Genomic DNA, 26,267 nt, shown 5'->3' with positions numbered 1-26,267 from the left:
AGAGAATATGCAGGAGATACTATATAATACAAATATCACCAAGGCATATGGTCACCAGACTGTCCAAGGTCAATGCTAAAGAAAAAGATATTAACATCAGCTAGAGAAAAAGATCAGATCATGTACAAAGGGAAACCCATCAGGCTAACACAGGCTTCTCAGTAGAAACCTTGCTAGCAAAGAGAGATTAAGGACCTATTTTCAGTATTATTAAAGAAAAGATAAATCATGCTGCTATAAAGACACATGCACACGTATGTTTATTGTGGCACTATTCACAATAGCAAAGACTTGGAACCAACCCAAATGTCCAACAATGATAGACTGGATTAAGAAAATGTGGCACATATACACCATGGAATACTATGCAGCCATAAAAAATGATGAGTTCATGTCCTTTGTAGGGACATGGATGAAATTGGAAATCATCAATCTCAGTAAACTATCGCAAGAACAAAAAACCAAACACCGCATATTCTCACTCATAGGTGGGAATTGAACAATGAGAACACATGGATGCAGGAAGGGGAACATCACACACCGGTGCCTGTCATGGGGTGGGGGGAGCGGGGAGGGATAGCATTAGGAGATATACCTAATGCTAAATGACGAGTTAATGGGTGCAGCACACCAGCATGGCACATGTATACATATGTAACTAACCTGCACATTGTGCACATGTACCCTAAAACTTAAAGTATAATAATAATAAAATAAAATAAAAAAAGAAAAGAAATTCCCATCAAGAATTTTATATCCCAGTAAACTAAGCTTCATAAGTGAAGGAGAAATAAAATATTTTTCAGACAGGCAAGTTAAGGGAATTTGCTAGCACTAGACCAGCCTTACATGAGATCCTTAAGGGAGTTCTAAACATGAAACAAAAGAAGAATACCTGCTACCACAAAAACACACTTAAGTACATAGCCCATAGGTCCTATAAGGCAAGCACACAGTAGCAACCACAAAGTAGAAACTACAAAGTAACCAGCTAACAATTTCATGATAGGATGAAAACCTCAGATTTAGATATTAGCTTTCAATGTCAAGGGTCTAAATTCCCCCACTTAAATGACACACAGTAGTAAGTTGGATAAAGAAGCAAGACCCAACTATGTGATATCTTCTAGAGACCCATCTCACAAGTAATGACACTCAAAAGCTCAAAGTAAAGGATTGGAGAAAGATTTATCATGCAGATAGAAAATGAAAAAGATTCTATTCTTGTATCACATAAAACAGACTTTAGGCCAAAAACAGGGAAAAAATGGACAAAAAAGGGTACTATATAATGACAAAGGATTCAATTCAACAAGAAGATTTTCTAATTCTAATTATATGTGCACCCAACATTGGAGTACCTAGATTCATAAAACAAGTACTTCTAGACCTACAAAAAGCCATAGACAATGAAACAATAATAGAGGAGGATTTCAACACCCAACTGACAGCATTAGACAGTTCATCAAGGCAGAACACAAAGAAATTCTGGACTAAATTTGACAGTTGACCAATTTAACCTAATAGATATCTACAGACAACTTCATCCATCAACCACAGAATACACATTCTTCTCATCTGCACACAGAACATACTGAAAGATCAACCACATGCTCGCCATTAAGCAAGTATCAATAAATTCAAAAAATTGAAATTATACCAATAATACTATTGAACCACAGTGGAATAAAAATAGAAATCAGTACCAAGAAAATATTTCCAAACCATACAATTACATGGAAATTAAACAACTTGCTCCTGAAAGAACATCTTTGGGTAAACAACAAAATTAAGGCAGGAATTTTAAAGTTCTTTGAAATAAATGAAGACAGAGACACAACATATCAAAATCTCTGGGATATGGCAAAAGCAGTGTTATGAGGAAAGTTGATAGTACTAAAGTTAGGAACTTCTCAAATTAATGAAATAACAAAACACCTAGAAAAATTAGAAAAACTAAAACAAACTAACCCTAAAGCTAGCAGAAAAACAAAAAAAAACTAAGAGCAGAACTGAGCAAAATTGAGAACCAAGTATCCATACATTTTAGCTCAACAAAACCAAATGTTGGCTCTTTAAAATGATGAACAAGATCTATAGACTGCTAGCTAGATTAATAAAGACAAAAAGAGAGGTAAATCAGATAAGCACAATCAGAAATGACAAAGGTTACATTTCTACTGATCCCACAAAAATGCAAAAGATCCTCAGAGACTAGTAGAAACACCTTTATGCATACAAACTAAAAAAACTAGAGGAAAATGAGTAAATTCCTGGAAACACACAACTTTCCAAGATTGAATCAGGAAGAAATTGAAACCTTGAACAGACCAGTATCATGTACAGAATTTACCCAGTAATAAAAAAGCTAAAAACCAGAAAAAAGTTCTGGACTAGATGGATTCACAGTCAAATGCTACCAGTAATACAAGGAAGAACTGGTACTAATTCTACTGAAACTATTCCAAAAAATTTAGAAGGAGAGACTCCTACCTAACTGATATGGTTTGGCTCTGTGCCCCCTCCCAAATCTCATCTTATAGCTCCCATAATTCCCACATGTTGTGGGAGGTACCCAGTAGGAGATGATTGGATAATGGGTGTGGGCCTTTCCCATGCTGTTCTCATAATAGTGAATGGGTCTCATGCAATCTGATGGTTTTTTAAAAAATGGGAATTTGTCTGCACAAGTTCTTCTCTTGTATGTCAGCGTGTGAGATGTGTCTTTAAACTTCCATCATGATTGTGAGGCCTCCCCAGCCACATGGAACTGTAAATTCAATAAACCTCTTTCTTCTGTAAATTGCCCAGTCTCGGGTATGTCTTTATTGGCAGCATGAAAACAGACTAATACAGTAAATCGGTACCAGTAGAGTGGGGCATTGCTGAAAAGATACCCAAAAATGTGGGAGCAGCTTTGGAACTGGGTAACAGGCAAAGGTTGGAACAGTTTGGAGGACTCAGAACACAGGAAAATGTGGGAAAGTTTGTAACTTCCTAGAGACTTGTTGAATGGCTTTGACCAAAAGCCTGATAGTGATATAAACAATAAGGTCTAGGCTGAAGTGGTCTCAAATGTAGATGAGAAACTTGTTGGGAACTAGAGCAAAGGTGGCTCTTGTTATGTTTTAGCAAAGAGACAGGTGGCATTTTGCCCCTTCCCTAGAGATCTGTGGAACTTTGAACTTGAGAGAGATGATTTAGGTTATCTGGCAGCAAAGCATTCAAGAGGTAACTTGGGTGGTGTTAAAGGCATTCAGTTTCCAAGCAGCAAAACATTCAAGAGGTGACTTGGCTGCTGTTAAATGCATTCAGTTTTATAAGGAAAGCAAAGCACAAAAGTTAGGAAAATCTGCAGCCTGACAACGTGATAGAAAAGAAAATCCCATTTTATGAGGAGAAATTCAAGCCAGCTGCAAAAATTTTCATAAATAACAAGGAACCAAATGTTAATCACCAAGACAATGGCGAAAATGTCTCCACGGCATGGCAGAGGTCTTCACAGCAGCTTCTGGCATCACAGACCTGGAGGCCTAGGAGAAAAAAGTGGTTCCGTGGGCTGGGCCCAGGGTCCCTGTGCTGTGTGCAGCCTAGGGACTTGGCGCCTCTCATCCTAAGGAGCCAACATAAGGCTCCTCCAGCCATGGCTGAAAGGGGCCAACATAAAGCTTGTGCTGTGGCTTCAGAGGGTGCAAGCCTCAAGCCTTGGCAGCTTTCATGTTGTGTTGAGCCCAGAAGTGCACAGAAGTCAAGAACTGGGGTTTGGAAACCGCTGCCTAGATTTCAGAAGATGTATGAAAACACCTGGATGCCCAGGCAAAAGTTTGCTGCAGGGGAGGGGCCCTCACCCACCTCTGCTAGGGTGGTGCAGAAGGGGAATGTGGGGTAGGAGCCCCCACACAGAATCCCTACTGGGGTGTCACCTAGTGGAGCTGTGAGAATATGGCCACTGTTCTCCAGACCCCAGAATGGGTAGGACCACTGACAGCTTGCAGTGTACACCTGGAAAAGCTGCAGACATTCAATGCCAGCCCATGAAGGCAGCCAGGAGGGAGGCTCTACCCTGCAGAGCCACAGGGGTGGAGCTGCCCAAGACCTTGGGAACCCACCTCTTGCATCAGCATGACCTGGATGTGAGACATGGAGTCAAAGGAGATTATTTTTGGAGCTGTAAGATTGGACGGCCCTGCGGGATTTCGGACTTGCATGGGGCCTGTAGCCCCTTTGTTTCAGCCAATCTCTCCCATTTGGAATGGCTGTATTTACCCAATGCCTATACCCCCATTGTATCTAGGACATAACTAACTTGCTTTTGATTTTACAGGCTAATGGGCAGTAGGAATGGGCAGTCTTAGATAAGACTTTGGACCATGGATTTTTGAGTTAATGCTGAAATGAGTTGAAACTTTGGTGGACTGTTGGGAAGCCATGATTCATTTTGAAATGTGAAGATATGAAATTTGGGAGGGGCTGGGGTGGAATGATGTGGTTTGGCTCTGTGTCCGCACCCAAATCTCATCTTGTAGCTCCCACAATTCGCACGTATTGTGGGAGGGACCTGGTGGGAGATGACTGAATCTTGGGGGCTGGTCTTTTCCATGCTGTTCTCGTGATAGTAAATGGGTCTCACAATACCTGATGGCTTTAAAAAATGGGAGTTTCTCTGCACAATCTCTTTTTATTGCCTGCTGCCATCCACTAGATGTGACTTGCTTCTCCTTGCCTTCTGCCATGATTGTGAGGCCTCCCTAGCTGTGTGGAACTGTAAGTCCAATTAAACCTCTTTCTTTTGTATATTGCCCCATCTTGGGTATGTCTTTATCAGCAGCATGAAAACAGATTAATACACTAACTGATCCTATGAGGCTGGCATCACCCTGATACCAAAACCTGACAGACACAACAGCAAAAAATTATATAGACTGATATCCCTGATGAACATGGACATGAAAATCCTCAACAAAACACTAGCAAACTGAATCCAGCAGCACATCAAAAAGTTAATTTACCACAATCAAGTAAGCTTCATTCCTGGGACACAAAGTTGATTCAATATATGTAAATCAATAAATGTGATTCACAACATAAACAGATTTAAAAACGAAACCCATATGATTCTGCATCTCGAAAGATGCAGAAAATGGTTTTGATAAAATCCAACATTCTTTCATAATAAAAACCCTCAACAAATTAGCCATCAAAGGAACATACCTCAAAACAATAAGAGTCACCTTTCACAAACCCACAGCCAACATCACCCTAAATGGGCAAAAACTGGAAGCATCTGCTTTGAGAACTGAAACACAACAAGGACGCCACTCTCACCACTCCTATTCAACATGATATTAAAAGTCCTAGCCAGAGAAGTCAGGCAAGAGAAAGAAATAAAAGGCATCAAATAGGGAAAGAAGAAGTCAAACTATCTGTCTTTACTGATGATATGAACCTATACCTAGAAAACCCTAACAACTCTGCTAAAAGTTTCCTGGAACTGATAAATAACTTCAGTGAAATTTCAGGACACAAAATCTATGTACAACAATCAGTGGCATTTCTATACACCAGCATCCCAGCTGAGAGCCAAATCAAGAATGCAATTGCATTAACAATGGCCACCAAACACACACACACAAACAAGGAATACATCTAACCAAGGAGGTGAAAGATTTCTACAAGGAGAACCACAAAACACTGCTAGAAGAAATTATAGACGACACAAACAAAGGGAAAAACATTCCATGATCATGGATGAGAAGAATCAATATCATGAAAATCGTCATACTGCCCAAAGCAATCTACAGATTCAATGCTATTCCTATCAAATGACCAATGTAATTTTTTACAGAATTAGAAAAAACTATTCAAAAATTCATATGGAAGCAAAAAAAGAGCTTGAATAACTAAAGAAATCCTAAGCAAAAGGAACAAGGTCAGAGGCATCACATTATCCAACTACAAACTATACCATGAGCCTACAGTAACCAAAGTAGCGTAGGACTGATACAAAAAGAGACACATAGACTAATGGAACAGAATAGAAGAAATAAAGCCACACACCCACAGCCATCTGATCTTTCATGAAGTTGACAAAGATAAGCAATGGGGAAGGATTCCCCATTCAATATATTGTGCTGGGATAACTGGCTAGCCATATGCAGACAAATAAAACTGGACCATCAGCCTGTCATAATACTAGAAGAAAACCTAGGAAACACTATTCTGGACATCAACCTTGAGAAGAAGTGTATGGCTAAGTCCTCAAAAGCAATCACAACAAAAATAAAAATTGACAAGTGGGACGTAATTAAACTAAAGAGCTTCTGCACAGCAAAAGAAATAGTCAACATAGTAAACAAACAGTCCAGAGAATGGGAGAAGATATTTGCAAGCTCTGTATCTAATGAAGGTCTAATATCCAGAATCTATATGGAACTTAAACAATTCAACAAGAAAAAAAGCAAACAACCACATTAAAAAGTGGGTGAAATACATGCACAGACATTTCTCAAAGGAAGACATACAAGCAGCCAACAAACATATGAAAAAAATGATCAACATAGCTAACATCAGAGACATGCAAATCAAAACCACAGTGAGATAGCCTCTCACACTGGTCAGAATGGTTATTACTAAAAGGTCAAAAAACAACAGATGCTGGCAAGGTTGTAGAGAATAGGAAACACCTATATATTGTTGGTGGGAATATAAATTAGTTCAGCCACTGTGAGAGTGCTTTAGAGATTTCTCAAAGAACCTAAAACAAAAGTACCAGTTGACCCAGCAATCCCATTACTGAGTATATATCCAAAAGAAAATAAGTTGTTCTACCAAAAAGACATGTGCACCCATATGTTTATGACAGCCCTACTCACAATAGTAAAGATATGGAATCAACATGGAATGCTACGCAGTCATATAAAGGAATGAACATGTGTTCTTTGCAGCAACATTGATGTAGCTGGGGGCCATTATCCTAAGTAAATTAATGCAGAAGCAGAAAACCAAATACTACCTGTTTTCACTTATAAGTGGGAGCTAAACATTGGGTACTCATGGACATAAAGATGGCAACAATAAACACTGGGGACTAATAGAGGTGGGAGAAAGGGGGCAAGGTTTGAAAAACTAACCATTTCATACCATGCTCACTACCTGGGTGACAGAATCAATCATACCCCAAACCTAAGCATCATGCAGTATAGCCATGTAACAAACGTGTACATGTACTTTCTGAATCTAAAATAAAACTTGAAATTATTTTTAAAATTATAAACCAAAACCAAATAAAAAATTTAAAAAAATATTTTTGCAACACAGTCAATCCTATTCGTTAAGATATTGTGTATGGCTGCTTTTGAGCTACAGTAGTAGAGTTTACTAGTTGTGGCGTATTTACTATCTACAAAGTTTTACCCATGCTCTATGTGAATGGCACCATCTAGAGCTGAGTACTACAAAACTTGCACAATCATGCAGCATCCCAAAAACTACAGATCCCTGGCAAAAATCATCATCCCTACTGTGTCAGGAAAGTGACTTCAAATAACATGTGAGGTTCAATGGGGGCTATATTAGTGGGACTGTAACAGGATACATTTTAGAAGAGGATAAAAATCACAACTGCAAATACAAATTTAACATGTCAAGACTTTTATTTAACTAAATAATTGAGAGAATCAATAATATATAACAACCAGTTCAAATGAAGATTTGACTTCCAGAGATTTACAGTTTCTAGCTCATCAAAGAACACCAGAGCTACACAGTTAAAGGAGTGTATTAGTCCATTTTCATGCTGCTGATAAAGACATACCTGAGACTGGGTAATTTATATATAAAGAAAATGAGGTTTAACGGACTCACAGTTCCATGTGGCTGGGGAGGCTTCACAATTATGGCAGAAGGTGAAAGGCATGTCTTACATAGCGGCAAACAAAAGAGAGTCAGAATCAAGTGAAAGTGGAAACCCCTTATAAAACCATCAGATCTCATGAGACTTATTCACTACCACAAGAACAGTATGGGGTAAACTGCTGCCATGATTCAATTATGGGAATCATGGGAGCTACAATTCAAGATGAGATTTGAGTGGGTACACAACCAAACCATATCAATGGGCAAAAGCAGATTTTAATCAGGAACTATTGCAATATGGGAAAAGAGACCTCAATATAGAATTGTAATCAATTCCAAACACAACACGGACAACTTGTGGATTTATAGCCAACGAGCAAGGTCGGGGTTAGTGGATGCAAAATTACTAAAAGGAAGCATTAAGTGTAAGGGGTGATTTCTAGCTAAATAATCCAATAGGATTCTTATTGAAAGCTGGCCAGGATGAATGGATGTCACCTCGGGGACTCAGGGGAATTATAAATTAAATCAGATATCAAGGGTAGGGGTTCTGGTTAAACCAACTTAGCAAGACTGTTGCTATGGTTGTGTAATGCGTGTCTGATAAGGATAGACACTAAGGTCACAGCCTACAGGGCTTATAGGCAACTGACTAGGGTTTGGTCAAGGAGACAGTTTTTGTCAGTTTCTCCTCATGTTTCAGGAAGGAAGAAATTCTTCTTGAGCAATAAGAGTCCATTACACAAATGCCTTTTGTTCATTAAAGACCAGCTGAACCATCTGTTGAGACTTGGTAGTAGAGGATATCTGCTGGATGGTGCAAGTAGTCAGGTATTGAAGGAGGAGAGTTTCTAGGAAAACAAAGTAAGACAAAAATTAATGGTTGAAGCAAGCTGAAAACCCAGTTTCTGAGTCCAGAGTATAACCAGCTGACAAGAGTTTATGTTGGGTTAAAAGCATTTTTAGATGGTGGAGTGAGGATGGCAGTGGAGAGCTGACAGATTTCCTGGCTTGCAGTTTGAATGTCTTTGGTGATGATACATGCATTAGTGCTGCAGTTTTGGTTATTTCTCAGAACAGAGCATGGAAACATCTAGCTTCAAATACAGGGCTTCTTTAGATAGTCCCAAGAAGAACATGGGCAATCAGGTTTTAGTTCTCAGTAATGCAAAGTCAGGAGTGTGGGAGAAAAATTGGAAATGTTCATTTGGAGATATGTAGCCAGATTTCAGAGGAAACTAGAAAAGTTGAGGAGGTTCCAGTCTAGTTTACAGATAGATAATAAAGTAGAAAGTAAAATGGAGTTACCAGGAGGCGAAAAATAGCTCTAAAACAATGAACACTCAGAAAAGTATGCTATAGCTTTCCATGAAAATACAAAATTTCTCACTACAATCACCCTCATTTTGATTAAAGATAACTAAAGTAAGGTTATTCTTGTCTTCAGAATAAGTCTGGTCTCATTAGATCTGGCATGATTGTTTACCTAGGTGCAGCAAGACTATAATTGACCACAAAGACCTTTTTAAGTTTGCTTTGCTGAAACTTTTCATAAGGAATCTCAGATTAGACTTCTAAAATCCTCTCAAGACTAGGAAACCAAGCCAAGACTTTGCCACCAGATTTTACCTTCAATACCTACCAATTTGGGTGAATCCCTCTCTCCTTGAAGTCCCCAAAATACTCTAAGTTTCCTAGGCCTGCCTGAATAAAAACTACATTACTCACATGGAATGCTGCAAACACTATAAGTTAGTTCCCAGGCTATTTTTTCTAGAAGGGCTTTTTAAGCATTGGTTCCGTAAAGTCAACCTTAACTCCTTAAATCTGTCTGGTCATATCTGATTCTATGCCTATTATTCTTAAATATAACATTCCAGTCAAAGCCTTGGTTAATACAACCAATGTTTCCAATTATGTCCTGGTAAAATAAAAAAGGTAGATTCTTATTGAACTTATGTAAATAATTATATTACCATGAAAATAAGAATATTCAAAAAGAGCTTTGGAATTCTGAAGGGATCAGGAAAGGGAAAAGATAAATGTTTCATTTCTGTTTACAAAAGTATAATATACTAAATCATTGTAATTTATGGATAGTTTAAGAGAAAAAAGAAAGGGGTTTCTTATATCCAAAAAATGGAGCATTAAAGAACTAACAATATTCCAAAGAAAAACCATTATCTTCTCTCACCAGTTCATTCAGTCCCATGTTATTAATTCTTATTCTACTCAGCCTTGAGTTAATAGTTTCATAAACCCATCAGCTTTTCAATAAAACTCTTGGGACTTACATATGATTCCAAGGAAGACAGGTAATGAATGAGATTAAATTTTCTGCTAAACAGGTGGCTGGGTCTCAGATTCAGAATATATTTGATTTAAAGAAACTAAAGCATGTTGATATGTTTTGTATCTCTGAGTATATGAAGTAAAGTTCATATCTGTTGTATTCAAGTTTCTTGAGGACAGAGGCTTTGTCTTACTTCTATTTTCTTAAAGCTGACGCTGGATAAGTGATTCAAAAATATTTGCTAAATGGAATTGAAAGAAAAAGTCAATGAACAAAATAAATATAAACTAAGAAACAAAGAAAATTGGATATTTTACATAGTTAAATAAAACTTCATCGGGGGGAAGACTTCTAACGATGGATCATCTCACATGTGCACTATCCAAATTCTTATCTAACTTCACTGTGTCATGTATGAGAGAAATAACAAGAAGAATCTAATCTAGAAACTTAGGAGTTGCAGAGAGAGCCTTACATCTGCCTGTTTTCTAAGGAAACTGATTGAGGAAAGAGGATCAAATAGAAAATTATTTTCTCCTGCAGGAGAAAAAATATACTGGAAGTTTACACTTTAAAGGACACCTTAAGGATTATCTGATTCAACTGTTTTATTGTCTTTAAGCTAGTTTGCAACTCTGTAAATTGAAAATAAATGGTAACAACACAAAAATAATTCTTGCCTATTGACATGCAAATTCCATCCTGTTCAATAAAAGTCCAATTGATTTCCCTTCCCCTCCTGTGGAAAAACCAATTTTGCCCCCACCTGCAAGTTCATTTTAATATTTCTGATTTATAAATGTGTCTGGTCTTCAGATTCTCTTCTGAGCCAGCTGTAACATCTCCCTGGTTCCCTCATTGGTAAATGAGTAGAATAAAATATTTACCGTCTGTTCATTTTTATTTCTTTGACAGTCATGAGTTTCACCTTTTTTGAAAATTAGTTTTTAAGACTTCCCAAAATAATATTAGTTTTAGGAGAAAGTAAATATTCAATTCAAAAAACACACATAGTTAAAAACAGAATCAAAAAGAGGACATTCAAGCTGTCAAAATAAATTAGGAGGTAAGCTTGGAATAATTATTAGTGTGTTAAGGATACAGGTAAATATTTATGCTCATAATACATCACCTAAGCCCATTGCAGTAGCAACAGCATTCAGGTAATACTCTAAAAGCCATCTATAAATACATTGTTTTAATTATTTACCCCATTGCCTTCATCAAAATGTAGAGGTGAGTCAAATCCCAAAGCCAATTTCCTTTTTCTCCCTGTATTTACATTTGTTTCTTTCTTTTTGCTAAATATCCATGCAAAAATCACACTAGTGTTAAAATGTGTACATGTTATAGGGCTCAGTTATCCTCTTTTGAGTCTATTAAGAAATCTCCTGTGGTCTACTTCCAGGTAAGGCACTATAACAGCCCAATTCCTCTAGGACTGTCTGAGTTAACCTTCCTCAGAAGAGAGAAATTTGTGGAATAGCTTCAGGTTACAAAAATCACAAGGATCTTATTATGCCAACTGAATTTGATGTGAGACACCTATTATTTCCAAACTCTATGGAATACAATTACACCATTAATTCTCTGGAGAGAAAGAGGAGAGTTTTCAGGGATAAGCATTAAAAGAGGTTCCCTTCTAAATTATAATTAATTGGGCTCTGAGGAAAGTAAACCACAAGCTGAGAGAGAGATGCTCATTTGGTGAAATAAATGCAGTTTCTCCCAGACACCAGAGCATTGTTTGGGAAAGGATATTTTAGAATTGAATATGTGAAAAAATAAGAAGAGGTAACACATCATTTCCACTGCAGTTTTGTTAGATTCTAAAAACTACACATTATGTGCAAGAGAACACCAAATGATTCCCCAGAACACAGACTCAAATGACAATCCTGGTTGATTACTTCTTTTCAAGCTACATTAACTGGTGATAAAAAAGTTACAGGCTTTCACCAGCAGAGGGAAATACTGTCCTAAGGAAAAACATGGAATCTCATGCCCATTTTTTCCATCTTAATTCTTCTGTGGTATAAGCAAGAAATGAATGCTTCTCCCTAGTTCTTCTCATTTTATGGCATGTTGAACAGCAGAGAATTTTCTATTCAATGCCTAGAGCATAATTGTTTTGAGGAAGGATGAAGGAGAATGCAGGAAGCTGTGAGATCAGAGAAGAGTCAACTGAGAGCTGTCAGGCTTTAGGAGACACATGAGGCTGAATTATAAAATAGTTCCATGTGCAAAGAGCTTTCCTTACATATTCATAACTCACTCCTCTCTCAAACCTCCAAATCCAAAGCTTATTCTGGAATATTGATGAGTCCTCATTGGCTCTTTTCTATGGGAGACTATTAGCCATCCTCAACCAACAGGAACTTCTAATGTATAGGCATTCAGGGAGTGTCCTTCAGGAACTATATATTTTTAAATGTCTAGCTGTTTTCCACTTAATATCTCCATAACCTTTTGGCTTTATTTTCCAAGGTTCCCAATTCTGCCAACAATTAAGAAGCTGATTTCATGAAGGGAAGCTATATCCTGCAGTTGAATTACACAGCAAGTGTCACAATCCTGAATGAAAAGGAGAATCTATGTTCCTGTGATACAGCAGGCCTAAGCATCCTCCTTCCAAACCAACTTTAAAGCCCCTTCTAGGGTCACAGCAAGCAGAGGTCACTATATGTCACAAGAAAAGAAGGTAGAGCATCTTCAGCAGAACACTGGGGTTGCACCCTTTGGTTAGAGAGAGATTGTGCAGTGCCACATTATACAGTTGTCTTCAGAGAAGAAAGAAAGAAAATTGGAGCAAGGAAGGCAGGCAGGCAGGCAAAATGGTACAGGTCACTGTGTAAGACACTTTGGCAATTTCTTTAAAACCTAAACATTCTTACCACAAGATCCAGTAATAATGCTCCTTGGTATTTATCCAAAAGAAGTTTAAAATTTTTGTCTATGCAAAAAAAGCACATAAATATTTATAGCAGTTTTATTCATAATTTCCCAAACTTGGAAACAACCAAGCTGTCCTTCAATAGGTGAATGGATAAAGAAACCGCGGTGCACATGGAATACTATGCAGCCATAAAAAAGAATGAAATCATGTCCTTTGTGGAAGCATGGATGGAGGTGGAAGCCATTATCCTAAGCAAATTAATGCAGGAACAGAAAACCAAATATCACATGTTCTGTCTTATAAGTCGGAGCTAAACATTGAGCACAGATGGACACAAAGAAGGGAAAAATAGATACTAGGTTCTACTTGAGGATGGAGGGTAGGAGGAGGGAGAGGATCAAAAAACTACTCAGGTACTATGTTCATTACATGGGTGATGAAATAATCTGTATACCAAACCCCCACAACATGCAATTTACCTATATAACAAACATGCACATGTACCCCTGAACCTAAAATAAAAGTTGGAAGTAAAAAAAATAAACTGTGGTACATCCAGATATGATGAATTATTTAGCAATAAAAAGAAATGAGGTGTGAAGACATGAAAATGCATGGAAGAACCTTAAACATATATTGCTAAGTAAAAGATGTCAATCTGAAAAGGCTATATTCCGTATCAATATAACCATATGACATTCTGGGAAAGGCAAAACTGAAGATAGTACAAAGATCAGTGGTTGTCAGGGGTTCAGGAGGTCAGAAGGAGGGACAAAATTTTTAGGGCAGTGAAACTATTCTGTAGGATACAGCAGTGACAGATACATTTGAAAAAACACAGAATGTACAACTGGGTGTAAACTATAGACTTTATTTCACAGTAATGCATTAATATTGGCTTATCAATTCTAACAGATATGTCACACTAATGAAAGATGTTAATAACAGAGGAAACTGAAGGGAGAGGGCAAGGGTCCTATTGAAATTATCTGTATTTTCTGCTCATTTTTCTGTTCATTTTTCTGTAAACCTAACTACAAAAAAATTAAGTCTACTATGAATGAAACAAACAAATGAAGAATATCAAGAAAGAGCTATGGGGTTGGAAACTCCTAGTAAAAAGGAAATGGTCTGACACCAGAATCTATTGAATATCTTCTCTGTTTTATTGTATATATTTATCATATAGATGTTCAGGTCCAATCAGGAGTCAGAAATCATATAGTGATTTAAACAGGGGAAGTTTAATATACAAAGTTATTAAACTATGGTCAAAGTGTAACTATAAAATATTTTTAAGGCTAAATATGCTACCGTAGGATGAGGAGAGCACTAAAGAAAGGCCAAATTTGGAACGTGTGACTTCTCCCCAAGTCTGGGTTGGAAAAAGTAAGATTGCAGCCCAGTGGACAGCAGAGAGGTTTCCTCTTTGCCTGGACCAGATCTTCTGCAGTCACTGAGCAAGCAGGAAACAACCCTCTGGGGCTCACGCTTTATACAGCCAGTGGCCAGCACGCTGGCAAGCAGAGTCAACCTTCCAGGCATGGTGAGAGTATAAGTGAGCTTCAGAAAGTGGTTAGAGACATAGGAGTAATAAGAAGAACAAATACCCTGAGGAGAAGAGGCCTAGAGTGCAGTGTTTCCTAGTGTCTCTGTCAATAAGGACCAGGAAATTGATCACCAGGTCAGGCAGGAGCTTCAAGGTTGTGTAGGGGCCAAATATTCTGGGCTTTTGGCTGGGACACAGCACAACCCTGTCTTCATCATCACACCACTAACTGACCCTACAATCACTGGAAGCAGCAGAAGATCCCCTTTTGCCTCCTATGTCCTTCTAGTGCCCTCTACTGAGGATGTTGAACATCATCCTCACTGTAAAGGAGATGCTTACAATAATTCCTTCCTTTATCACAGAACAAATATTGGAGAGTAAATTTGGAGCTAAGGGGCAATAAATTGATAACTGTCATATATGAATAAACTGTATGTAATTAAATACAGAATGTGAGTGCAATGATTCTCAAAAAAAATTTTTGTATTCCTAAAGTTCTAAGATTAAGAACCCTTCCAGGTATTTGTTAAATAAATTATTTGACTGGATTGACCCTCACTGCCCATTAAAATTAAGATTCTGGAGATCGTGCCGTTGCACTCTAGCCTGGGCAAGAAGAGCGAAATTCCACCTCAAAAAAAAAGATTTAAGATTCTGGAGTCTAGAGTGTGAAGTAAGCCCCATCACAGAAATCTAAGTGGGTGAGTCCCATTGTGCCTTCCCAGTATCTGATGTTATAGCAACACTGTGCTGAAGTTGTTAAAATCCAAGTCTGTTGGGAAAGTGAAGTCCATGATGATAGGTCTAAAAAATGTCTCAAATAGGAGAAGTTCAAAAGATTTCAAAGATGCTTTTGGCATTTATTTCTGGTTTGTTATAAGAATTGAATACTTTCCAAACATGAAGGGATAAAATGATTCAGGACTAAAGGCACCAATAAAATAACCTACTAAGGGAAAGTCTGCTAAGGTAGAACAGTAGCATGAGTGGTTAAGCAAGATTTTGGAACCAGACTCCTTGGATCGAAATCAGGGCTCTGCCACTTATTAGTGATGCAAGGTGCTTAACCTCTCTGTAAGTCAGTTTCCTCATTTTTAAGATGGAAATGGTAATCATTAAGGTGGCTCTTAGAGACATTGTGAGGTTAGATGAATAGATACATGTGAAGCATTCAGAACAGTGCCTAGCACAGAGTCCATGCGATATAAGCATGGCTATTCTTATTTTTAAACTTGTACATGTACTGTACAAATAGCAGGTAAAATCAAGGGAGGAATTTTAAAGAGTAAAATGAATACCATATTAAGAGATTGGAAAGAAGACTGTGAAACATGAAAAAAAAATTAGAAATTCCAAATCTCTAGACATTGTGAAGCATGAGACTTCTCCCATAAAAGGTAAGTGCAGATTTTTCAAGGGAGTCATGGCATCCCATACCTCCCACAAAATAAGAAAGGGCTCTAGTAGTTATGAAGAGTCTGCTATTCCCTCCGAAAAGTAAGGGTAGACATGGTAGTAGGTGGTTACTGAAGGGCATACCTTTCCTGGGGAAAGTAGTCATCTGCAGTTCTTATCAAATAACCCACCTCTTTCTCGGTCTCAATGATTGTATTATTTATACTCACTTCTGCTTATTACATGGATAACTTACATTCAGATGTTTTGCATCTAGAATTTAGATACTTTATGGTAAACACACTCATTTCTGAATATTTTCATTCAGTTTAACAATCCAGTTGTTTCCACTGGAAATTTCTTGGTGTATTCTCAACCATAATAAGATACTTTCCTACTTTGAACTTCTATTGAATGATAGCACAATTGCACATGCCGCTTGCAAAAAATAATTGGAGTTGGTCATGCTTGCTTTCTTAGGCAGCCTCATTTTCTAGGATGCAAATGGATGAAATACAGGTTCTGACCTTAATTTTCTCACTCCAGCATGCTTGAAATGATTTCATTGTCTCATGCTCCACTAGGACAATTCTATCAACTATTTTATTTCTTAATCTGTAAGGATATTAAGGTATAGTATTTTTTTCTAGTGTATGTCTGTGCATCTCTTTCTGTTCAAGTGTTTTGCGGTTTTCCATTAAAATCCCATCCTCTTAAACTTTTAAAAATTCTGTCCACTTATTTTATATCCTAAGAAGATTACATAATTAATAAAATAATAAATATTATACAGGTTAAATTAATCTGATTTCTTTCTGCATTGTGAGAAAAATCAACTTGGTTTCATTAAGACTGCTTGCCTCAGGAATCATTCCATTGAGTCATTGTAGGATAATACAAGTATATATAGCTTCTGATAAATACATCATAGATTCCAATAAGAAACCTGATTCCAAGCCCCTACTATACATGGATGGAACTGCCCTTTGTTCACCAAAATGGTAAGTTGCAATAAATGGCACCCATTATTATTCCACAGACTCAAATTTTGGCCAAAGACAGAGCTGGGATGGATGCTTAGACAGGAGGCACAGTGTATTAGTTCATTCTCACACTGCTATAAAGAAATACCTGAGACTGAGTAATTTATTACGAAAAGAGGTTTAATTGGCTCATGGGTCTGCAGGCAATACACGAAGCATAGTGGCTTCTGCTTCTGGCGAAGCCTCAGGAAGCTTCCAATCACAGCAGAAGGCAAAAGGACAGCAAGGTGTCTAGCAAGGGGGGAACAGTGGCAGGGTCAGGAGGGAGGAGCAACACACTTTTAAACAACCAGCTCTCTGAGAACTCTATCACAAGAACAACACCAAGGAGATGGTGCTAAACCATTTATGAAGGGTCTGCCCCCATGATTCAATCACCTCCCACCAGGCCCCACCTCTAATGTTGAGGATTACATTTCGACATGAGATTTGGGCAGGGACATAGATTCAAACCATATCACACAGCTTCACTCCCTGGTCACATTCTGTATTAAGAGCGCATTTGTAAAGAAAATATGTTAGCATGACAGTTAACACCATGATGAGAGGCATCAGAAGACAGTAAGTGAAGGCAGAACTCTAAATAAAGTAGAAGACGAAGTCAAATTGTTGGGTTTGCATTTTTGGGGTGGTGGGCATTGTTTGGTTATGTTTATTGTTGTCATTAGAAGCTTGCTGCCCATCCATCCACCAGTAAATGAAGGCTGTGATTTCCCTCCCATCCCTTCAGCCAAGGCTCCTAGGGAACCACATTATAACCCTGCCTCCAAAGTGTCTTGCCTAAAGTCTCACAACTACTATGTGTCAAAACAGGATTCGAACCCAATTGCCCTTGGCTTCAATATTCTCAGATTGACCTTCAGGTCTGTTACATAAACCCCCAATGTGTGGCTAGCCTGGAAAACACAATGTAAACCCCACTACAGTCCCTTATCTGAAATTCCAGATCCAAAATGTTCTGAAAACTGCAAGGTTTTCCTAAGTTTGTGGTAAATGCATTTGGTGGTAAATCTGACCTGAACTGACAGAAAGATATTTACAGTCTTTTTTTTTAATTGTTTTTTTTTTATTTTATTATTATACTTTAAGTTTTAGGGTACATGTGCACAATGTGCAGGTTAGTTACATATGTATACATGTGCCATGCTGGTGTGCTGCACCCATTAACTCGTCATTTAGCATTAGGTATATCTCCTAATGCTATCCCTCCCCCCTCCCCCCACCCCACAACAGTCCCCAGAGTGTGATGTTCCGCTTCCTGTGGCCATGTGTTCTCATTGTTCAATTCCCACCTATGAGTGAGAATATGCGGTGTTTGGTTTTTTGTTCTTGCGATAGTTTACTGAGAATGATGATTTCCAGTTTCATCCATGTCCCTACAAAGGACATGAACTCATCATTTTTATGGCTGCATAGTATTCCATGGTGTATATGTGCCACATTTTCTTAATCTAGTCTATCATTGTTGGACATTTGGGTTAGTTCCAAGTCTTTGCTATTGTGAATAGTGCCACAATAAACATACATGTGCATGTGTCTTTATAGCAGCATGATTTATAGTCCTTTGGGTATATATCCAGTAATGGGATGGCTGGGTCAAATGGTATTTCTAGTTCTAGATCCCTGAGGAATCGCCACACTGACTTCTACAATGGTTGAACTAGTTTACAGTCCCACCAACAGTGTAAAAGTGTTCCTATTTCTCCACATCCTCTTCAGCACCTGTTGTTTCCTGACTTTTTAATGATTGCCATTCTAACTGGTGTGAGATGGTATCTCATTGTGCTTTTAATTTGCATTTCTCTGATGGCCAGTGATGGTGAGCATTTTTTCATGTCAAGTACTCCACTTAGTGTCAATATTCAAACATTTTCCTAGAGAAGCATTAATGTGTTTGAATACTGTCCTCAGACCTTGCTGTGGGTATACATATATTTTATTTATTTGTTTTCTTTTTCCTTTCTTTTTATTCACTTTTTGTGGGGGGTGGGGAGGCAGATTCCTGGTGAAAACTGGAAAATGTACTAGACAAATTCTAAAAGATCTGTAACACTGTGGGTATATATTGAGACAGTATGTAAACAACAGGGCAGTCACACAGGGCCCTACACTTAACAATGACCCTGCACTTGGCTAAAAGCTCTGCTGTGGCATCATGAAATCCTTAATAATTTTTTAACAAGATGCCTTGCTTTCCCCACCCCCACCACAGAGCCCTGTAAATTATGTAGCTAGTCCTGAGTATAAGCACTACAGTACAGTAGTATAAGCACTACTCATAATATCCTCATGGTATCTAATATATCTACTACTATATAATACTATAATATTATAGTACTGTATAATATTATAATACTATAATATTATACTACTATATAATAAGTATACAGTAGTATACAGTAGTATAAGCACCACTCATAACTTTTCTGATTTTTCTAAAATCAGAGAAGTTACGAGCTCTGAAACACATCTGACCCTAGGGCTTTGGCTAAGGGACCTATGTTACTACACTACCAGTATTAATTCTATTGTTACTAACACCATGGATTGAGTGCCTCCTGTAGGCAAATGATTTCCTAAGGACTTTACAGGTGTTAGCTATAACCCTGTGAGGTACATATTATGTTATTCATTTTTTTTAATTTAGTAAAGTGAGGTTCTGAAAGTTACCCTAAAGTTTTAAGATCACCCAGCTAGTAAATGGCAGAGTTGGAATTCAAACTAAGGTCTGCCTGATTCTAGAACTTGTTTAATATTCTAGGAGGTAGGTGCTTTGGAAGTATTAGGATGAACCATGAAATTGCCAATATCCAATCATTTTACATAGAAAAATGGCGATTTCATGTGGCTCAACTTAATATGAATGACTACTTATAAAATATAATCTCCCTCTATTTCATTTATGGGTGTTTTTTAGTTTGAAACGATGACCAAACTAATCCTTTTGCTAAAATGTAAATAAAAGATTGCAGTGAAGTCAGAAGAAAAATTTATGTAGTTCAATTTAAAACAAGTTGCATGTCTCATCCTGTCTCACTAGAGATGACATCACTGCTCCTAAATAGGGAGGATGGATCACATGGGAGAACTTGTTTTTATTGTGATCAGCTGCAGGCGATCAGCAATATGACCTCATCTGCAGCTGAGGGGATTTGACCTTTGCCCCTTTAGGTATGTGAAGCAGAAAAAAATCCTTCACAGGCTGAGGAATGCAAAGCAGACAAGCATCTTCAGCCAGCAGAGTTTATCAAGCATGTGTTCAGTGCAAATGCTCAGACTTGGACATGATGCAAAAGCAATTAAGAGAAAGAACAGTGAGTAGCCTGGGAGTTGGGTGGGTCCCTTGGTGTTTCTCAGTAATACTAGAAAAATATGTTTTTCATTTTCGAATAATAAAAGATAAGAAAGGGGCCTTTAAAAAAAAATGCTTCTTGTGCTAAGTTACCATAAGCAGATGATAGAATTTAAGTTCTTATCATAACCAGTTTCCTGTGAGAATATCTTAGATGTAATCAAGTCAGATCTAACAACTGATCAATTTAACTGGCTAGTTTTAAAAACAAACTCTAAGTAAAACATGCTCTTCAGCTGTATTTTTAAATTGATGCAGTGAAAGTGACAGTTGGACAATAAAAGCCCAGGTTATCCACTCACAAATGTCTAGGAATGTGTGGAAAATTAACGAGATAAGTTGCTTATTGTGTATTCTTTCCTCGTCCTGTTTATATCTACTTAACTCCCAGACCGAAAAGCTCACAGTGTTACAGATTTCCTTCTGTTCAAAAACTCCTTATTAACCAGAAATTGCTTAATATTTTAGGGCTTTGACATGTATTATTTGATGTAGCACTCATGGGCACCATGATGAGGAGCTCTTAAATCAGCTTAAGAAAGGTGAACTACTAAGATCAAAAGAGTGTTCCTTTTTCCTGGTGAGTAATTGTTAATGAATATCTTCCAAATCAAACACCTTGCAAGAAGCAGAGTTTTTGTATTTTACTAGCAACAAATTGGAGAGATGGAAGCCCTCCAAAAGAGTTCTAGAATGCTGAAATATGAAACGTAAAAAAAATTTCATCCAGGTTAAAAAGGCAGTTTATTATTCTAATTTTCAGCTGCACAGTTACCCAACTTAAGCCAAGTCTTTTCACACTTCCTGAGTGATTTTTATCTTACCTACTGCTTCCCACTTCCCAAGTGGGAAGAAATCTCATTCCCTCCAACTGAGAATCTGAGAAGACCAATTGCTTTAAAAAATGTAAGAAAAATGGCTGATGATTTAGGCAGTTAGTAGTATAATTATTTCTTCTATTTTTATTGTTTTTGTGATACTAGAAGTAGTCATTTTCATGTTTATCCAATATCTTTGAGGTCCAAAGTGAGGTGTCAAATTTCACAAAAACTTTATATTTCAGCAATATTTTTGGTGGGTAGATTTTCAAAAAGTTTTGCTTGGTTATCACTCAGTGCACTCAGAAAAATAGTCATTTACAAAAGTAAACATCAAGAGATAGTGAAAAACTTGATGAAAGAAAAAGTATTATATCCTAATGTCTACCACTAGGTGAATGGATAAATAAATTGGGGTTTATCCATACAACAGAATTCTACTGAGTATCAAAATAACTGAACTATTGATACACTCAACAACAGGAATACATCTTGAAATAATTATACTGAGTGAAAAAAATTCCCTAAGACATTTTGTGTGACTCTTCCAGTTTATAAAATTCTTTTAAAATGCAAACTAATCTTTAGTGACAGAAAGCAAATGAGTGGTTGCTTGAGAACAAGGAGAAGAGGCAGGGAGGGACAAGTGGAAGGTATTACAAAGGGGCAAATGAAGCTTTTGCAGGTGATGAATATGTTCTTTATCTTCATTGCAGGTAATGAATATGTTTGTTATCTTCATTGTGGTGAAGTTTTTTAAGTGTATACATATATCCAAACATATTAAATTTTATACTTTGTGCAATTTAGTTTATTTCAGTTATATTGCAATACAGTTTTCAAATCTTTAAATAAAATTAGGCATGAAAAAAAGGTATTGTAATTTGCCTTAAGTCACAGGTCTAGGTCACGGAGGAACAAGGACTTGTAATTAGCTGTCTGAAACTAAAGTCAGCAAGGAGGAAGAAAAGATCATTCTTCCAAATGATAGGTTTGCCAGTTAGAGAGGACTCCTTGACTAAGGAGGTTGCCTACTGATTATGTGAAAGTCAAGAATGTTCCAAGAGGGAAGTCCTTTAGAGGAGTGTTACTAGTTTGGATGATTTAATGTGAGGGCCAGTCTTACATTTTGACCAGTTTTCTTTGCAGGGCATCTAAAAACATGATGACCTTGATTAATCAGAGAAAAATAAATATGATTTCATATTTATTTTGAAACTGGCTTTCCTCAACCAGTTTATGGGTACTTAGTAAGTCTTCAAGGATTATAAAATAAATAGGTACTTGGAATATCTTGAAAAATTCTGGGAGAATTCTTCACATTCTTCCGAACTACTGGAAAAAAAAAATACACCAGGATGATGATTCCTTAGACCAGGGTTTTTCGGCTGCAGCATTATTGACATTTGGAGTTGGATACTTCTTTGTTGTGGGTGACACCCTGTCCGTTATAGGATGTTTAGCAGCACTCTTGTCCTCTAACCACTAAATGCCCAGAGCACAGTCCTCTTAGTTCTGACAACCAAAAATGTCTCCAGACATTGCCAAAATGTCCCTTGGAGTACAAAACTACCCCTGATTGAGAACCACTGCATCAGAATCATTGTCATGTTTGAGAAAAATTCAGAAATTGTAAATAAGCAAACAACTAATTTAGAGAAGAAGGGTTGATATCATTACTAACAAAAGAGCTCTTACAAGCCGGTTAAAAACTATACTGCTAGAGAGAGAAACATAAAACAAATAATAACTTCTAATATTTCAAATTAGCTTGCCACTGGTAAAGAGCTTTAAAATTTACATTACTTCTAAGCTGGGTCCTCTTTGCTGCTTAGTGGGTTCGGCAAACATTCTCTAATTTTATTGCCTACCTTATACAGCATTTCAGCCTGTAGTTTCAGCTGATCATTTCTCAGCCAATATACATCTGGTAGCATTGGATCTTTCCTTAGCTTTCAAACAATAGTAGCCATTGTCTTTAAACAATGCTTATGGCCCATTATGAAGTGGCCAGTTGTAATAAATGTATCTCAAACGTTAGTACAGAAAAAGTGCATCACACTTGAAATCATCTTGTTTCCATCAATCAAATAAACTCAGTTTCCATTAATTAAATCAGATGCCATTCTGATTTAAACTAGGCAGCAAAAAACCCAGAACTAAAAGAAAAGCTCAATGATATAATCAAGCTATTTGAATGAGTATGAGTGGTTGTAATAATATTCTCATTCTGTGATTATAACTTATTTAAATATAAATATTTATTGTGTACATGTATACAATGTAAGCCACATTAAAACATTTGGGAAAGAATATAAGGGTGTAAATAATGAATAAATTAATTAATTCATGATCTTTTTTCTTAAAATGACAATAGGTAGAAGTTCTGATCCTAAGAAAAAGAAACAATGCAAATGTTTGGAGAAGACCTCTAAATCTGGATTCTTCAAAGTAAAATTTGTATGCAAGGCCATTGATAAAAGATACATTGTATATGTGATAATTTCAGACCCTTCCACAATGCAGAGAAAGGATTTATTTGCATGCTAATGTATGCCAAAGGATAAGTAATTCCTCCCCTTCTTCTCCTTCTACATACTGGTCACAAAGCTTAGATTCAATGTCAAATAAATTTGAAAGCTGGTACTCGAAGTCACTGCTGGGGAAGAGAAAAGCTTTATGCCTGTAGCTGGGCCCATGGACAAAGCCAAGGATTCAGTAAAGTACTGAGGCTTACATTCCAGCTGTGTAATCATCTCCCTCTGTGACCTCGGACAAATGATTATGCTTCCATTCTTATTTCTTCATCTGTAAAAAATGACAAGAAAAGTTTGGAAGGGGAGATCTCAGTGTTCATACTCAAACTATAGATCAAATTGTTATAATTAAAACCACAACATAACCCAGTTCTACAAACCTATAGCAGATGCCATAATATTATATCATTTGTCAGTAAAAATCTGCTTCTATTCCATCTGATACAGACACAAAGGTGATGTATTCTTTAACAGGCAAAATAAATCCCAGTAGAGAATACTACTGGCATTGTTCTTTCCTTGCATTCAGCTCATTAAAAACAGAATGATCGTGTGGGAACCTTGAAAAAATGACTGAATATACTAAGTGAAGCACTTCTTTAAGAGTACATAATTTTAATTTTAATCAAAATCCCAATTTTATTTTTAATATTAGCCTTCAGCAAGAATGTGAAAACACTAAACCAAGAAAATTTACTTTGTTTATTCCTTTAGTTTAATAAGAGCAAATTGTTTCTAGTCTTAGTTCTATGAACAACAAGGTATGTGACTTGGACAGATATGGCTAATTTATAGAAAAGAACATTGTATATAATCATTATGCATTTATATTTAAGAGCCTTTACAGTAATATTGAGGGTAACTATAACATCAAGTAAAAAATTATTTAGAAGAGTTTTTACATTTTTAATCACTTAGAAAAGTATTCACAGAATACTAAGTGAACAGACAAAAAAAAGAAGTAAAACTTATATGTATAATATAATATCAACTACCAAAAAATGCCAGCGGTAGTAGAAAAATCTACCAAAATGTTAGCAATAGTGGTCTTATTTAATGTGGTGAAATTGTAAATGATATTTTTCTCTTCTTTCAATTTTCCTCTTTATTATATTCTTTAACACCTATATATTATTTTATAATCAGAAAATAATAAACTATTCATGAAAGAAAATATAACTCCCAGGCAATGAGAACTTCAGCTTCCATCTGTTAATTTCTGCAAACAGTAGTACCCATTATTACTGAGAATGCTCAGAGAATCTTACACACCAATGACATTTCAGAATCAAAGGATTAGTTATATCCCATGCCATACAAAAAAAATTGATTCCCCAGTATTACTTACTTCCTCTACTCATTACTGCAGCCAGAGATCAGGGTTGACAGTGAGGGAATAATTGTCCTTGCCTCAGACCAGGAAGCCTTCAATTCCAGGGAAAGAGATAACAATGCGAAGGAGTAACACAGCTGGGGAATACCTTATTGATGAAGCCACAAAATAGCTTTCTAAATGACCAGAAGTCGTGCCTAGCAAATGTATCAGCAAATCTCTGTGGCTTCATTACCCAAACTTCTTCCTCTAGGAAACCACCTACTTCTCCCACAGAGGAGTCATGAGCAGTTAGTGTCAGCTCAGGAGCAGCCACAACTGTCCACATGCTCCCAAGAGCTTCTAGTGTCTTTCTAAAATATACACACAGCTCTTTCTGGGTATAAGTATGACTCATTTCTTCACTTATTCTATATTTATTGAGCACCAAGTATGTGTCAAGCCCAGGAGACAAAAATATCTCCTCATTTAAAACAGGTAAGTCAAGCATTTTGAGGTTATAATTTGAAGTTTGCCTCAAGGTATTATAGAAAAAGTTTGCATTTTAGAGTCAGGTAGACTTGCGCTTGAACCCCAACAGGAAAATAATATTTATGGTTGAACTTGGATAATTTACTTAGCCTTTCTGAACTTTGATTAATATTCTATAATGGGGCTAGTCATACTAATATTATTTTAAATATCTGGTACATAATTGTGATTCTCAATAAATAATTTTACTTTGTTAGTAACATATTTATTAACAATTAAACATAAGAGAGGCATATTCTGGAAAAAATCATTACTACTTAAGAAGCATACAGAAAAATAGAATAATCAATACATATAATTAGAGCAGTATGTCCCTGAGGAACTTTGATGGAGAATAGCCCATTAGTCCCTCAATAATTTGAAATAAACTGAAATCTTTCTAGACATTTTAAATGTTTTATCTATTTCTGACAGAAGCACTAATTTTAACATAGAAGCTCTTCAAGTAAGTTGCTAACTGTAAAGTACCCTATTAAAACCACTCTTTCTGATCTACCCAAACTAAGGAAAAAAGAGAGAGAAACATACTGTTAAATTTTGGCTAAAGCCAAAGTCAAATGCTTTAGAAAAAAGGTAACCAGCTTCTCTACTTGGACCAGACTCATCAAGAAAACAAGTGAGAAAAGTCACTTTGTATCCTCATTCATTATTTTCTAGGTAGTG

At 36.8% G+C, this 26,267-nt stretch overlaps 1 long non-coding RNA gene and 1 other non-coding gene across 13 annotated transcripts in view; both read right to left on the bottom strand.

The window, feature by feature from the left end:
- Positions 1-7,633: 7,633 nt before the first annotated feature.
- LINC00973 (long intergenic non-protein coding RNA 973) overlaps positions 7,634-26,267 on the bottom strand; it is an 84,276-nt gene continuing 65,642 nt past the window's right edge. For 3 of the 12 annotated variants that reach the window (NR_186665.1, NR_186667.1, NR_186671.1), the window contains exons 2-3: positions 23,941-24,011; positions 7,634-8,705 (exon numbers count right to left, since the gene is read on the bottom strand). This is a non-coding gene — a long non-coding RNA (long intergenic non-protein coding RNA 973). Of the gene's footprint in view, positions 8,706-21,996; positions 24,012-25,088; positions 25,421-26,267 lie in introns of those variants that run through there. The other 9 variants (NR_186666.1, NR_186670.1, NR_186669.1 and 6 more) reach the window with 7 other exon arrangements.
- On the bottom strand, positions 19,026-19,088 carry LOC124906343 (U7 small nuclear RNA). Its single transcript, XR_007096297.1, has one exon. It is a non-coding gene; the product is annotated as a U7 small nuclear RNA (small nuclear RNA).

The sequence above is a fragment of the Homo sapiens genome, chromosome 3, assembly GCF_000001405.40.
Source record: "Homo sapiens chromosome 3, GRCh38.p14 Primary Assembly".
Lineage (NCBI taxonomy): Eukaryota > Metazoa > Chordata > Mammalia > Primates > Hominidae > Homo > Homo sapiens.
The sequence above is the reverse complement of the archived record's forward strand: the minus strand, read 5'-3'. Positions and strand labels throughout refer to the sequence as shown.